Raw genomic sequence first — 16,316 nt, forward strand, 5'->3', positions numbered from 1 at the left:
CTCAGATCAAAGAAGAGTCAGGGAACTCAGAAGACAACTTTCAAGATATCCACACAGTCATCTAGGTAAAAGTAATCATAACTGTTAAATTTGTGAATTATCTAATGGAAAATCCTTTAAGCAACAACAACAACAAAAAGTTTCTATGTCAGGGCTAGAGTTGCTTTCTACCTTTAAAACAATGAGACCCAAACATTTCACACATATGTTTAATAAGAAATATTAAGTGTATAATACCCCCTCTACAGTGGTGCTGATGTCTTTCAGAAACAAACATTGCTTAATTATTCAAAGGCTATAAATTTGGGGTGGCATATAGTACAAAGAGCAAAATGAGTACCCAAGTTAATAAACTACCCAATAATCTCTTCAAACAAATATACTGCACCTGTTTTTACATTTAATATCCAGAGTACATGGAAATGGCAGGAAGTAATATAGGAACTTCTACGGTAAAATCTCAATCTCTCTCTCTCCTCTGTCTGTCTGTCTCTCTCTCTCTCTCTCTCTCTCTCTCTCTATATATATATATATATATATATACACACACACATATATATGCATATATGTGTAAGATATATATATATATATATCTCACCCTAGTCAGGCCCTGCCTATCTTCTAAGGCCTATTTTAAGTCTAATCAGTTCCTTAGGCTTGACTTTCCACTGACCCTACTATTGCACTTCAAGTCTATGCCTTATCACTTTTTGATTGTCCTGTCAGACTTCCTCACAATTTTCAAGGTCCCTCTTGCATTGATTTAGTCTGTACTACACTATAAGTTCCTTGAGGGTTGTGACTATGCTTTAGGCCTGTCTTGGATTACTAATAATACCTTCCAATGTTACCCCACTTTTCTCCTGCAAGGTTAGAGAATATTTAAATTTTCTTAGTGTGACAACCTTGGTCATAGCTAACAGAAGGAAGTCAAGGTGGGGGAGGGCTGTCTCAGAAGTCAATAAAACCTGGGTCACCTACAAAACATAAGCCTATGATAAAGATATCTGTTCATTTTTAAACTATAAAGGTATATTGGGGATGATAAATTTATTCTAGCAAAATGTCTATTCCCTCTATGATATTGGTCATTTAATTTCATCTCATTCTGTTTCATTTGCCTTCAAATCATAAAACTCCTGTTTCCTTTCTGCTGGTGTAATTTTCTCTCATTATTTACACAGGATGATTACATATTTACTCTAGAGGAGAAAGAATATATATTGAAAGACCTTTGTCATTGAACCAGCTATGGAGCTTTAATCTATTAAGAATAGCCTTTGAGTGCTGTAAATGCTTTTTATCTTTGTGTGAATTACTGTTTGGCATGCCAAGAGCAGACATCAAAAGGACCCGTAAGTTCCCCAACACTTAAGTGGCCAAGCCTTTTTGGAGTTTTCTGGTAATTCGTTGACAAAAGCCTGTTCCAAAGGCAGTCGTTAGGATTGTTCTAACTATAGGAAACACTTTGCAGGTAGGAAGGCTTCGTGGAAAGCCCTCCCCTACTGCGGCAGCACACCTCAAGTAGGAGTTGAATGACATACTCCACACTTTCCTGCTCCATAGTCTTCAACACTCACTAGCATCTATTTTCTTCTTCTTCTTTTTTTTTTTTTCTTTTATTCTTTTTTTCTTTTTAAGGGACAGAGTCTTGCTTTCTCTCCTAGGCTGGAGTGTAGTGGTGTGATCATAGCTCACTACAGCCTCAAACCCTTGGACTCAAGCCCAGGCAATCCTGATGCCTCAGCCTCTGGAGGAGCTAGGCCTACAGGCACATGCCCATACCTGGCTAAGTTATTATTAATTATTATTATTATTGTTTTTGCTCTTTCTGACAAAATCCTTTCAGGCAATAATAAGTAGGGGCCAGGATAATTTATGTTCATGAGTTCAGAAAAATGCTACCTAATTTATGTTATCTGTTCTGAACATATCTGACAAGAAAGTTTTTCTCATGAGGATCTGTGCCTCTCCATTCCATTCCTCCCTTGACCTGTTCCTTACTTGTCTCGTGTCTTTTGCCTGAAAATCAAATCACCAGAGTCTACTCTGTTAATAACAATCATCATCACAGTAGCTCCTATGAACCTATCTCTATATTAACTTTATCATAATAGGCATAAACCGGAAATAACCCAGGATGCAAAGTAAATGAAGACTTACTCAAGGAGTATGTACTGTATGATTCTATTTATATCAAATTCTAGAATAGACAGAACTAATCTAGGTATAAAGAAATCAGGACAGTGCTTGCCTCAAAGAATGAAGGTAGAGATTAACTAGGAAAGGATGGTAATATTACAGATGTTAATAGGGTTATTGGTTATACAAGAATATTAATTTGTCATAGCTAAGCAAATATATACTTAAACGTTGCCCATTTTGTTGTAGGTTTTATATTAAAAGAAAATACGACAAACAGACATCCAATTCTGGTTAATAGTGTATCTGAAGTATGTAGAGGAAAGTGCCATTTGCTTTGAATTGCATTACAAAATATTTGTTAGGTGATGAACTTTAGAAGAATTGCTGTATAGATATGAAATAAAGCTAATAAAATAAGATGTTAACAACAAATGGCGTAGCCCTATGGGTGTTCACTGTAAAGTACTTTCAACTTGTGGTATGTTTGAAATGTTTCATAAACTAATCATAGTGGGAAAGGGAGTGCTAGTTAATTGTTCTTGTCAGTTTATACCTAGTAAGCCTTGCTAAATTTCTGAGAATTTTTGTGCAAATACCATTGTTACAGGAAAGGGATCCCGATCCAGACCCCAAGAGAGGGTTCTTGGATCTTGCATAAGAAAGAATTCAGGGCAAGTGCACGGTGCAAAGCAAAAGCAAGTTCATTAAGAAAGTAAAGTGGTGAAAGGACAGCTGCTCCATAGACAGAGTGGGATGTACCTGAAAGTAAGAGGAAGAACGCATCCACCCTAGGTACAATGATTGCATATATGGGGAGATGTGTTCTGCTACAAGGGTTTGTGATAAAGGATTAATTTCATTAAATACTGTATTTTGCAAGAAACGGTATTATTTTCTTTAAAGCAATATTGGGAATGCCTTTGTTATGCAGATATCGGGATATCTGGACACTCCCAAGTCTGGGTCTGTTTTAGTAAACATTATTAATCTGTTCCCTTAACCATAAACATCCAGAGTCTAGGAATGCCTAACTTTCTGGGAATGCAGCCCAGCAAGTCTCAGCCTCATTTTCCTAGCCCTCACTCAAAATGGGGTCGCTCTAGTTTGAACGCCTCTGACAGTATTATTCTTTGGCTTATAGAAATTTTATGACCAAACAAGACTCCTAGTATCTCTCAGAAAAACAAGGACACTAGGTATAAGAATGATAATTACATTATATGAATTATCTTTTACTACTATTTAGAATGACTTTATTATGTGTTAAATGAAAAATTTAAACTTGACTATTAAATTTAAATCAAAATAACTTGGCCTATGAATTAAGTCTAATTTTTGTGATGAGTTAGAATTTACCAAATAACATGTCCTAAGTGCAACCCTAAACTATGTTTTTTTAACAGTTGTAACTCCTGATACAGAAGGTCCTGGCACCATCTGGAGTCATGACTAATCTCGTGCATTTTCCCTAGAGGACAGAATTAACACACTGATCATAATCTCTTTAGCCATAATCTCCTTTAATCTTTTACAATCTCATTAGAACGTCCCCCAAACTCTGTAATGGACCTATTGTCAACTTCATTTAATGTATCCTTTTGTAATTCGTTACCTTAAATGGAAAATTTTATCATTTTAGAAATTTGGAAAATGTAGAAAATAATGTGAGCAAATGATTTAGCTCATATTTTACCAAAGAAAATATTTTATATATTTTCTCTTTTTAAAGATCTATTTTTACTTGGAGATCTTTTCTGGGTATACTTTTGCATCACTGTTTGATCTTTTCCCCTAAATGTTATCTGAGCATTTTCAACATGATCATACTTGTCATTATTTTTTATTATTATATAGTGTTTCTTGAAATAAAGGTATGGTTATTATCCTTCCACCATTCATTTATTTTGTCACTCATTAAAAATATTTATGGAGTGCTTCCATGTGCTACATACTTAGAAAACTCAGGCAGCAAGATAGAGATTATTTCTATCTTCATGGAACTTATAGCCTAACAGAGTTCATTGACATTTTAAAAAGCTATGCCAGTCAATAAATAAGCACAAATTGTGTTATGCACCATAAAAGGAAAAAAATTACAAAGTTGTTTGAGAAAGATATTGGAGAGCCTAATATTTATTTGAGTTTTAGGATACATTACAACCAACCGAGTAACTTTTGGGTTTTATGTCTGCATGTTTATTTCTCTTATCTTTCAATAGAATTATAAACTGGGAAGGTGAAGATTTTTTTGCTTATCATGTTTATACCTCCATGTGGCAGTAAATGTAGTATATTGAACACGGAACACTAAATAAATATGTATTCAATAAATTAATGATTTTTCTATAGGTATTTGTCTCCTTTTGAGGTTTTCTTGTTTTTGTTGGTGCTTGGTTTTGTACTGTTTTTCATATCTTTTATCACATAAAAATCATGGTGAACCCTAAATGGTTTGATTTATAAACATAACTTTTAAGCACAAGGTAAATGTTCTAAAGGAAAAGAAATGCCCAAATGTGTTTTCTCATGAGTTTAATATTCAAGTTCAATTATATGTTGAAAGATATGTTTCTGTGGTTTAGTGACAGATTAAAATATTGGTTTATCTTTATTATAGAGGAATAAATCCTATTAGATATAAACTCTTTGAAGCAAGAGGCTATGCTTTAAATTGGTTTCGATCAATATCCAGTGCCTTATAAAAAGAAGGTACGGCCGGGCGTGATGGCTCACGCCTGTAATCCCAGCACTTTGGGAGGCCAAGGCAGGCGGATCATGAGGTCAGGAGATCGAGACTATCCTGGCTAACATGATGAAACCCCGTCTCTACTAAAAATACAAAAAATTAGCCGGGCGTGGTGGTGGGCACCTGTAGTCCCAGCTACTTGTGAGGCTGAGGCAGGAGAATGGCGTGAACCGGGGAGGCGGAGCTTGCAGTGAGCAGAGATCAAGCCACTGCACTCCAGCATGGGCGACAGAGCAAGACTCCATCTCAAAAAAAAAAAGAAGATACCTGGTAATCAATGAATGGGTAAATGAGTAAATGAATGAATGCAAAATGGCCTTCTCTTTCATCAAACTTTATGTTCTCAAGCCATACACGTTTCATCTAGACTCCACAATGCTAGACGTTTTAGGGGGAGTTTTTCATTTTTTTGTTTTTTAATGATATTCCTAAGGTTTGAGCAGAACACCATAAAGATCATAACATTAAAATGAAATCAAAATTGGCCTTTTGCTTCCATTTTAGGGTTAACAGAAACACTGCAAGTTAGACTGCCAATCATCTCCCAATCAAATAAAATTCTTTGTTTTTCTTCTTTAGTTGTTATGTTTTATCTACATCCTTCTGCTATTCAGATGTTTTTCTCAAGTGACTTGGACATTGTAGTTCTCAGAAAAGATCTATTTTTACCAGTATGAATGAATTGTAGCTTAAGCTGCTTCCTGGCTGAGGAAGGTAGCTATTAAAACACTAACCAATAGAGGCTGGAATATGCCCAGTGGAAAGTGAGTGTACAGGAAAGCAAGCAAGAACACTGTCAGAAAAAGGAACATTTTAATGCATTCCAATGAGGCCAAAGATGCCACTAGGGTTTGAAAGGCAACCAGTTGTGATGAGCATCAATGACTCATGAAAACCACAATTTAGTTTACTTTACAGCTCCTGCTGCTGTTTCAGATGACTTAAGTCCTAAACTAATTAAGGAAAGTCACAGATTTCAGTATGGCCAAAGATAGGAATTGACCTATTTCCATCGATTTTCATTTCAGTGACACAATCATTGCTGGAGGCAATCCAACTTCTGTGAGTTTGACCTTTGTCATTAGAAAAATGAAAAAAATTAGATTTAATGATTTACAGGCTCCAATGCAGAATGATTGCTCCAAAAATAAGGTTTTCTAAAGAGAAAGAACTTTAGCGACATTCAAAATATTTCCAATTGACACACAGAAAAGTCTTGCTGTGCATTTGGAACTCTCTATTTCCACACATATCAAGGAAGGTTCGTGATGCCAGAGTTGCATTGGAGGTTCCCAAAGACCTCCTGGTTTTCCATATGGTAGAACCAGAACAGAAAGTCTTTCTAAACCCTGGGAAGCAGAGTAGCTTAAAAGTCAGCTAACTTCCATTCTAATAGCAGCTTCTGTGGAGTGAGGACATCACAATGTAAAAATGTAATCATATCTTTAAATTTTCCTTGTGGAAATAAGGTGTACAAAATTGAGCAAATCATTAACAGTACATAAATGGTCCACTGACAGACTTTTTTTTTTTTTTTTTGATTTGGAGTCTCACTCTGTTGCCCTGGCTGGAGTGCAGTGGCACGATCTCGGCTCACTGCAACCTCTGCCTCCTAGGTACAGGCAATTCTCATGCCTCAGCCTCTGGAGTAGTTGGGATTACAGGCACCTGCCATCACACCTGGGTAATTTATGTATTTTCAGTAGAGACAGGGTTTCACCATGTTAGTCAGGCTGGTCTCGAACTCCTGACCTCAGGTGATCTGCCTGCCTCGGCTTCCCAAAGTGCGGGGATTACAGGTGTGAGCCACCGCGCCCAGCCCAGACTATGAATTTATTAGGAAAAATAACATTTATAACAGTCAACCTAAGAACTACAATATTACTAGCAACTTATATTCATCCTGTGCTAACCTAGATCCATGCTTATCCACTCATTCTTCTGTCAAAACTAACGACTTTCTTGAGAATTTTGTGGTTTTCATTTTCTTGTTTTATTTATTTCTATATTATTTATGTCTTGCTCTAGCTATATATCATATATATCTATATCTAAAGAATATATTGTGTTTTTTTATTTTTATTTTTATTTTTTGGAGACGGAGTATCACTCTGTCCCCCAGGCTGGAGTGCAGTGGTGCGATTTTGGCTTATTGCAAGCTCCACCTCCTGGGTTCATGCCATTCTCCTGCCTCAGCCTCCCGAGTAGCTGGGACTACAGGCACCCGCCACCACGCCCGGCTAATTTTTTGTATTTTTAGTAGAGACGGGGTTTCACTGTGTTAGCCAGGATAGTCTCGATCTCCTGACCTCCTGATCTGCCCACCTCGGCCTCCCAAAGTGCTGGGATCACAGGCCTGAGCCTCCGCTCCCGGCGTGGTTTTTGTGTATACTGTTTTTAGTTTCCCGGAAATGCTTTTTTAAATTCAAATATTGTGTGCTAAGATCCCTACCTGTCGAATTTAGTTGTAGTTCATTAATTGTTCACTGCTGTATAATATTCTACTGTGTGAATATACTGCACTTCATGTATTCATTTTCTCATGGAGAGCAATTTGGGGTGTTTCCAGATCAGTTGTTTTCCTGTGGCAGAGAGAGTACAGAGAGTACTGCTATCAATATTTTTGTACAGGTATCCAAGTACCTACAGTTAAACTGTAAGTAGAATGGCTGAGTCATAGGGTACACAAATGTTGAACTTTATAGACAATACAAGTTGTCTTCCAAAGAAGTTGTACCAATGTGTACTGCCACCAACATTGTAGAAGAGATTGTATTGATCACCACTCTCTCCATCTCTTAGCAATCAATGTAAGACAATTTTTTCCAATCACATATTGGATATACATGTTCTTCATGTTAATCTTCTTTGGATCTTTATATATGTTATGAATATCTTCTTCTAGTTTTACCTTTTTTTTTTTTACTTTCTAAAAGGCATCTTTTGATGAACTATGCTTTATATTAATGTAATATAATTTACCAAGTCATTTTCTTTCCTGGTTATCGCTGTTTGTATCTTGTTTTCAAAAGTCTGCTCCATCCAAGATTAGAAATATTTTATACTAGAATTTCTTCCAAAATCTTTAATTTTGCTTTTGACCTTAATACACGTGGAGTTGATTTTGGTTATGTGACATACCATGAACTGAAGCCATTTTTCCGCCTCCATATGGCTTATCAAGTATTTTCAGCTCTATTTTTTTTATTGTGTTTTTTTGTTGAGACCACGTCTCAGTGTGTTGCCCCGGGTGGAGTGCAGTGGCACGAGATCTCAGCTCACTACAACCTCCACCTCCTGGGTTCAAGTGATTCTCCTGCCTCAGCCTCTGGAGTAGCTGGGACACTACAGGCGTGGGCCACAACGTCTGGCTACATTTTTTTTTTTTTTTTTTTTTTTGGTAGAGAGAAGGTTTCACCATGTTGACCAAACTGGTCTCAAAACTCCTGACCTAAGTGATTCACCTGCCTCGGCCTCCCAAAGTGCTGAAATTATAGGCATGACCACCATGCCTGGCCTCAGCTCTCTTTTTTAATAGTCCTTCCTTTTTCAATAATCTACTATGTCATCTCTGTTACATATCAAAGTTCCATATATGCTTGGATTATTTCTAAGTTCTATTGATTGATTTCTCTATCCCTGCATCTATACTGTATTCTTAATTGCTATAGCTACATTGTAAGTATTTTTATCTTGTAAAACAAGTCTCCCTTTTTCATTTTTCTTCTCTAACAGCATTTTGGCAATTTAAATGGAAGACAAGAGGGCAATTATAAGCCCTCTCATCTTCATTTAAATTTTAGAATTATATTGTCAAGTTTTTAAGATAACCTTGATGGAATTTTTAATTGAATTTTAAAAAGTGGTTAAGTTAAAATAAGGTCTTTAGGGTGGGCCCTAATCCAATATGACTGATGTCTTTATAGGGAGAAAATATTAGACACAGATCATGTAAAGACACAACAAGAAGGTAGCCTCTGCAATCCGCAAGCCAAGGGAGAGGTCCAGATCAATTTTTAAAAATTACCATCTTTATAATATTGTGTTTTTTGTGCTAGACCATAGTATATCTGGCCAGTTATTTAGGTTTCTTTAAGGCCTTTCATTAAAGCTTTATATTTTTATACTTTTCTATGACTTATTCTTGTATATCTCTTGTTTGACTATACCTGTGTACTTTAAATTTTGTTACTATTGAAAATGGTGTTTTTAGGTTACATTTTCTAATTATTTTAACTATATCTTCCTGTCTCTACTTTTTTCAATTTTAAATAATCTAGTCTTAAACCACTCACTGTATTTTGAGCTATGAATTAATTTAGCAGCATTCAAATAAATACATTAGACTTTCCCAACCCTGTGTACTTCCCTTTTTCACCACTCTATTACTCTTCTCTAACAAGGCAAAGTCTTTGATGCTCAGCAGGTTCTTGTTAAATGCTAGTCACCAAGCTAACATTGTCAATGTTTTTCCTAGGATCACTCCCAGAACACCAACGTTTTCATTAAATAAGAAAAAAATAACATTTGCCTTTCTCATCTCTTTAGGGAGAAAAACAACATAAAGATGTTTTCAATTTCCTCATGGGCAAATTGCCCCATCCTCATCCATCCCAATACCAAATTTTACTGCATCCCAAAGGGACATTTTATAGTCCTGACATGATTAAATTAAAAAAATAAGGGCTAGAGGAAGAAAATAAATTTGAAATCTTCCATTTATTGTATCTTCTGCTTGGAGAGAAAACATACAAATTATTGCATAAGATGTCTGAGAAGCTCAGTCATAAATAAATGCTTAACAATGCTTATCTAATGTTTCCCAAATGTTACCTAACAGTATAATATTTTAACTATATTAAAATCCTTCAAGATATTCTTTAAGAAATAATAAAGAATGAGGAGTTCATGTCTGGCAAAATGTCCAGTCTAATATTAGGTCCTTGTGGTCAAGCTATATATTAACTGTAATATATAATATGAAGAACACTGAATATATTTTACATTAAAATAACAGAAAGTAAAATTCTCCATTAGATGCAACTCTTACTGCAGAGGGAAAAATAACTTGCTTCCATTTTTTCATTACCTCAAGAATATTAATGACATTGTATCCAAGCAACAAGATGGTAACACTTATTATCTTATCATACTTGGATGATTAAATTTGCTGTCATATAAAAAAGAGGTATATTAATACCAAAAGACAGCTTTCTTACATCTAAATAGGATATATATATATATATATATATACTTCCCATATTTCCAATATATATAAAATAGTCTCTAATCAACTGTTCAGTTTTTGATGCACAATAATGAAGTGTAGTGATAGGGACCCAATCTGACCAATTCTTTAAGATATCTCTTCTATTAAAATTCAAGGTTCTGGCTGAAGAAGTAAGATTTAGAAAGGAGAGAGGCAGATAGATGGGTCCTAGAAAGAAAGCAATGAAAAAAACTAAAATCTATCTTAGTGTTTATAGGAAGAAGTGGTAGTGTTTTCTAGGGGCCTGTTGTGTGCACAAATCTCTATGATATTTGCTTGGATTTTTAAAATCTATTTTAAATTTATTTTAATTGTGGAAAATAAATGTAGCATAAAATTTACCATCTTAGCCATTTTTAAATGTACATTTCAGTGGTATTAAGTGCATTCATATTGTTGTGCTACTATCACCACCATCTACCCATGAACTCTTTCTTTTCATCCTACAAAATTAAAATTCTGTACCTATTAAATAATTATTTCATATATCCTCCTCTCCCAAACCTTGCAATCACAATTCTACTTTCAATCTCTATGAATTTGACTACTCTAGGTACCTCATTTAGTGGAGTCATGCAATATTTGTCCTTTTGTAACTGGGTTATTTTATTTAGCATAATGTTTTCAAGGTTCATCTATGTTGTGGGAAATGTCAGAACCTCCTTCCTTTATATACCCTATTGTATTCATCCATTCATCTGTTACTGCACACTCATTTTACTTCCACAAGTTGGTTATTATGAATAATGCTAGTATGAACACTGGTGTGCAAATATCTTTGAGTCCCTCCTTTCAATTATTTTGAGTATATATACCCAGAAGTGAAATTGCTGGATCATAGTCTAATTCTATGTTTAATTTTTTTGAGAAATAACCATACTGTTTTCTAGTTTTCTACAGTGTCTGCAGCATTTACTTTCCCTCCAACTGTGCACAGGTTTCCAGTTTCTCCCTGTCTTCACCAACACTTGTTATTTCCTGCTTCTTTAATAATAACCATTCTAGTACATAGGTGTCATCTCATTTACATTTCCCTAATAATTAGTGATGTTAAGTGTCTTGTTATCTGGTCATTGGTCATTTGTATGTTTTCTTCGAAGAAATGTCTATTCAAGTCATTTGCCTATTTTAAAATGTCTACTTTTTGTTGTTGATTTGTGGGAATTCTTCATATATTCTGTATATTAACCCCTTATCAGATCTATGATGTGCAAATATTTTCTGCAATTCCAGGAGTTGTCTATTTGCTCTATTGATTGTGCCCTAAATGCAGGGCACAGACGTTTTAATTTCGAAATAGTCTAATTTATCTTTTGTTGCCTGTGCTTTTGGTGTTATATGTAAGAAGTCATTGTCAAATCCAATGTCACAAACTTTTAGCCTATAGTTTCTGCTAAGACATTTATTGTTGTAGGTCTGTTATGGGCTGAACTGTATTTCCCTAAAATTCATATGTTAAAGCCCTAAACTTCAGTAACTCGAAATAGAATCATATTTTAATATAAGATATTTAATTTTATTTATTTATTTTTACTGTTATTTTATTCATTTATTTTTTTGAGACAGAGTCTTGTTCTGTCACCCAGGCTGGAGTGCAGTGGCATGATCTCGGCTCACTGCAACCTCCGCCTCCCAGGTTCAAGCGATTCTCCTGCCTCAGCCTCCTGAGTAGCTGGGATTACAAGTGCTCGTCACCACTAATTTTTGTATTTTAGTAGAGATGGGGTTTCACCATGTTGGTCAGGCTGGTCTCGAACTCCTGACCTCATGACCCACCCGCCTCAGCCTCCCAAAGTGCTAGGATTACAGGCATGAGCCACTGCGCCCAGCCAATATAAGATATTTTAAAAGGTGGTTAAGTTAAAATAAGGTCTTCAGGGTGGGCCATAATTCAATATGACTGATGTCTTTATAGGGAGAAAATATTAGACAAAGATCATGTCAAGTCACAACAAGAAGGCAGCCTCTGCAATCTGCAAGCCAAGGAAGAGAGGCCTCACCAGACACCAAACCTGCCGACAACATAATCTTGGATTTCTAGTCTCCAGAATTGTAAGAAAATAACTTTCTGTTATTTAAGCCCACCCAGTCTGTGGTATTCATTATGGCATCCCTAAAAACTAGTACAGGATGTGTGGAGTTAGTTTTTTTAATTAAACTTTTTGTTTTGAGATAATACAGATTTACATGTAGTTGTGTATCCTTCACCCAGTTTCTTCTAATGGTAACAGGTTATAGAACTAGAGTATAAATATCACAAGCAGGATATTGATACTTAGACAAGACACATGTTTTATTCAGATTTACCCAATTTTACTTTCACTTGTGCATATGCATGTGTGTGTATATGTATACAGTTCTATACAATTTTATCATATGTGTGTATTCATTTATTAACCACCACAGTCAAATACTGGATCCCTTGTGTTGCCCTTTCATAACCACAAATTCTTAACATATGGCAATGGCTTAACTGTTCTCCACATTTATAATTTTGTCATTGTAAGAATTATATATAAACAAAATCATACATTATATAGGCATACCTTGAAGATACTGCAGGTTTGGTTCCAGATCACTACAATAAAGCAAATATCACAATAAATCAGTTCATGCAAATTCTTTGGTTTCCCAGTGCATATACAAGTTCAGTTTACATTATACTATAGCCTACTGAGTGTGCAAAAGCATTTTGTCTAAAAAAATATACATACCTTAATTAAAAATACCTTTTTAAGTTAAAAATTGCTAATGATTATCTGAGCCTTCAGCAAGTCCTAATCTTTTTGGTGGTAAAGGGGCTTATCTCAGTGTTGATGGCTGCTGACAGATCAGGGTGGTGGTTGCTGAAGTTTGAGATAGCTGTGGCAATTTCTTAAAATAAGGTAAAAATGAAGTTTGCTGTGTCACGTGACTCTTCCTTCCATGAACGATTTCTCTGTAGCAGAATCCTGCTGCTGCTTTATCAACTCAGTTTATAGAATATTCTAAAACCTTCGTTGTCATTTCAACAGCGTTCACGGCGTCTTCACCAGGAGTAGATTCCATCTCAAGAAACCACTTTGCTCATTCATAAGAAGCAACTCCTCATTTGTTCAAGTTTTGCCGTGAGACTGCAGCAATTCAGTCACATCTTCAGGCTCCACTTTAGTTTTAGTTCTCTTACTGTTTCCATCACATCTGCAGTTACTTTCTCCACTGAAATATCCAACCCCTCAGAGTTATTCATGAGGGTTAGAAGCAACTTATTCCAAACGCCTGTGGATGTTGATATTTTGACCTCCTTCTATGAACCATGAATGTTCTTAATGGTATCTGGACTGGTAAGTCCTTCTCAATTTACTTCTTTCAGATTTATCAGAGGAATATGATCTACAACAGCTGTAGGCTTACAAGTGTATTTCTTTAATAATAAGACATGAAAGTCTAAATTACTCCTTGATCCATGGACTTCAGAATGGATATTTTGTTAGCAGACATTAAAACAATGTTAATCTCCTTGTTTGTCTTCATCAGAGTTCTTGGGTTACCAGGTCTATTACCAATAAGCAGTAATATTTTGAAAGAAATCTTTTTTTCCTAAGCAGTAAGTCTCAACAGTGATCTTAAAATAGTAAACGGCCGGGCACGGTGGCTCACGCCTCTAATCCCAGCACTTTGGGAGGCCGAGGCAGGCGGATCACGAGGTCAGGAGATCGAGAACATCCTGGCTAACGCGGTGAAACCCCATCCCTACCAAAAATGCAAAAAAATTAGGCGGGCATGGTGGTGGGCGCCTGTAGTCCTAGCTACTCGGGAGGCTGAGGCAGGAGAATGGCGTGAACCCGGGAGGCCGAGCTTGCAGTGAGCCGAGATCGTGCCACTGCACTCCAGCCTGGGTGACAGAGCGAGACTCTGTCTCAAAAAAAAAAAAAAAAAAAAAATTCAGTAAACATGCTGTTAACAGAAGTCCTGTTATTCAGGCTTTGTTGTTCCATTTGTAGAGCACAGGCAGAGTAGTTTCAACATTACTCTTAAGGGCCCTAGGATTTTCAAAATGGTAAAAGACCACTGGTTTCAACTTAAAGTTACCAGCTGCATTAACCTCTAATAAGAGAGTCAGCCTGCTTTTTGAAGCTTTGAAGCCAGACATTGACTTCTCCTCTATAGCTGTGTTAGTCTTCTTCAATAGCATCTTTTTCCAACAAAAGGCTATTTTGTCTACATTGAAAATCTTTTGTTTAATTTAGCCTCCTTCATCGATAATTTTTGTTAGATCTTCTGGATACTTGCTATAGCTTCTCCATCAGCACTTGCTGCTTCACCTTGTACTTTTATGTTGTGGAGATGGCTCCTTTTCTCAAGTCTCATGAACCAATATTGCTGGCTTCTTCTGTGGCTTTCTCACCTCTCTCAGCCTTGACAGTATTGACAGTTATGGCTTGGCCCTGGATTAGGCTTTTTGGCTTAAGAGAATATTATGGCTGGTTTGATCTTCTATCCAGACCACTAAGACTTTCTCCATTTCAGCAATAAGGCTTTTTCTCTTTCTTATAATTCGTTCATTCACTGGAGTAGCACTTTTGATTTCCTTCAAGAACTTTTCCTTTGCTTCCACAACTTGACCAGGTGTTTGGCATAAGAGGCCTAGTTTTCAGCCTGTCTCAGCTTTTGATATGCTTTCCTCACTAAATTTAAATATTTCTAGCTTTTGATTTAAAGTGAGAGACATGCAACTCTTCCTTTCACTTGAATACATAAGAGGCCATTGTAGGTTAAAATTGGCCTAATTTCAATATTGTGTCTCAGGGAATAGGGAGGCCTGAGGAGAGGGAAAGAGATGGGAGAGATGGGAGAGTAGCTTTATCAATGGAGCACTCAAAATGCATACATTTATCAATTAAGTTTGCTGTATTATCTACAGAATTTATGGCACCCTGTAACAATTACAATAGTGACATCAAATATTACTCATTACAGATCACCATAACAGATATAATAATAATGAAAAAGTTTGAAATATTCAGAGAATTACCAAAGTGTGACACAGAGTCACAAAGTGAATACGTGCCATTGGAAAAATGGTATGTCAGACTTGCTTGATACAAGGTTGTCACAAACCTTCAAGTTGTAAAAAATATCTCAATCTGCAAAGTACAATAAAGCAAAGCACAATAAAACAAGGTATGACTGTATAACCGTTGGGAGTTTCTCTCAGTATAATTCCTTTGACATTCTTCCAGGTTGTCATTTGTATCAGTAGCTCATTCCTTCTAACTGTTGAGTAATGGTCTATGGTAGGTATGTAACAGCATTTAATTAGCCATTTACCTGTTAAATTATATCTGGGTTACTTAGAGTTTTGGGTTATTATCCTTATATCAACTATTTTATTCTTTGCTTTTGTTTGTTGCCCTGTTCCTCTTTTCATGCCTTCCTGTGGGTTAATTGAACATTTTCTAGTTTTCCATTTTGACTTGCATATACTGTTTTGTGTGGTATCTCTCTGTATAGTTTTCTGAGTAGCTGCTCTGTATGGAGTTCTTAAAATCAATTTTCCTAATTGCCTCTTAAGTTAACTATTAGTATTCCTATATCACAGATAAGAAAACTGAGGCTGAAACAGTATGTAGCATATCCCAGATCACATAACTAGTAAGTGCAGAGCTGGAATCTGAACCTAAGTCTGTCTTACTTCAGAATCTACTGTCTTGCTACCATTGGCCACAGGGCAAAGTGGGAAAGCCTCACTCATTATAAGCCATCTTTACTAGGGAGGAAATTGACAAGATTTGGAAACACTGAGTAAGGATCCAAAATGTCGTATCTCAAGGCTTTTGCTCTTGTTCTTCCTTCAGTCTGTGATGCTTCTTCTTTAGTCTCTTTCTACCTATCTAAACACAACTTACTGGAATGCAGCCACCTCTATTAATCCTTCTTCAATTGCCTTACCTCTCCACTGTAGAAAATGATTGTTTTCCTTTGGTTTCTGCATGGCAGTTTATTTATACCTCTCTCCTGTCCTGGATTCTGGCTAGCTATTCATATACTCCTTGCTTCCTGTCTGATTGGAAAAGCTTTGAGAAAATGAACTAAGACATAATTAATCTTTGTCATCTCTAGCTAGAACAGTATCTAGTATGCAGTAGTTGATCTAGCAAATATTTACTGAGCTCA

Source organism: Homo sapiens, chromosome 3, assembly GCF_000001405.40.
Source record: "Homo sapiens chromosome 3, GRCh38.p14 Primary Assembly".
Taxonomy (NCBI): domain Eukaryota; kingdom Metazoa; phylum Chordata; class Mammalia; order Primates; family Hominidae; genus Homo; species Homo sapiens.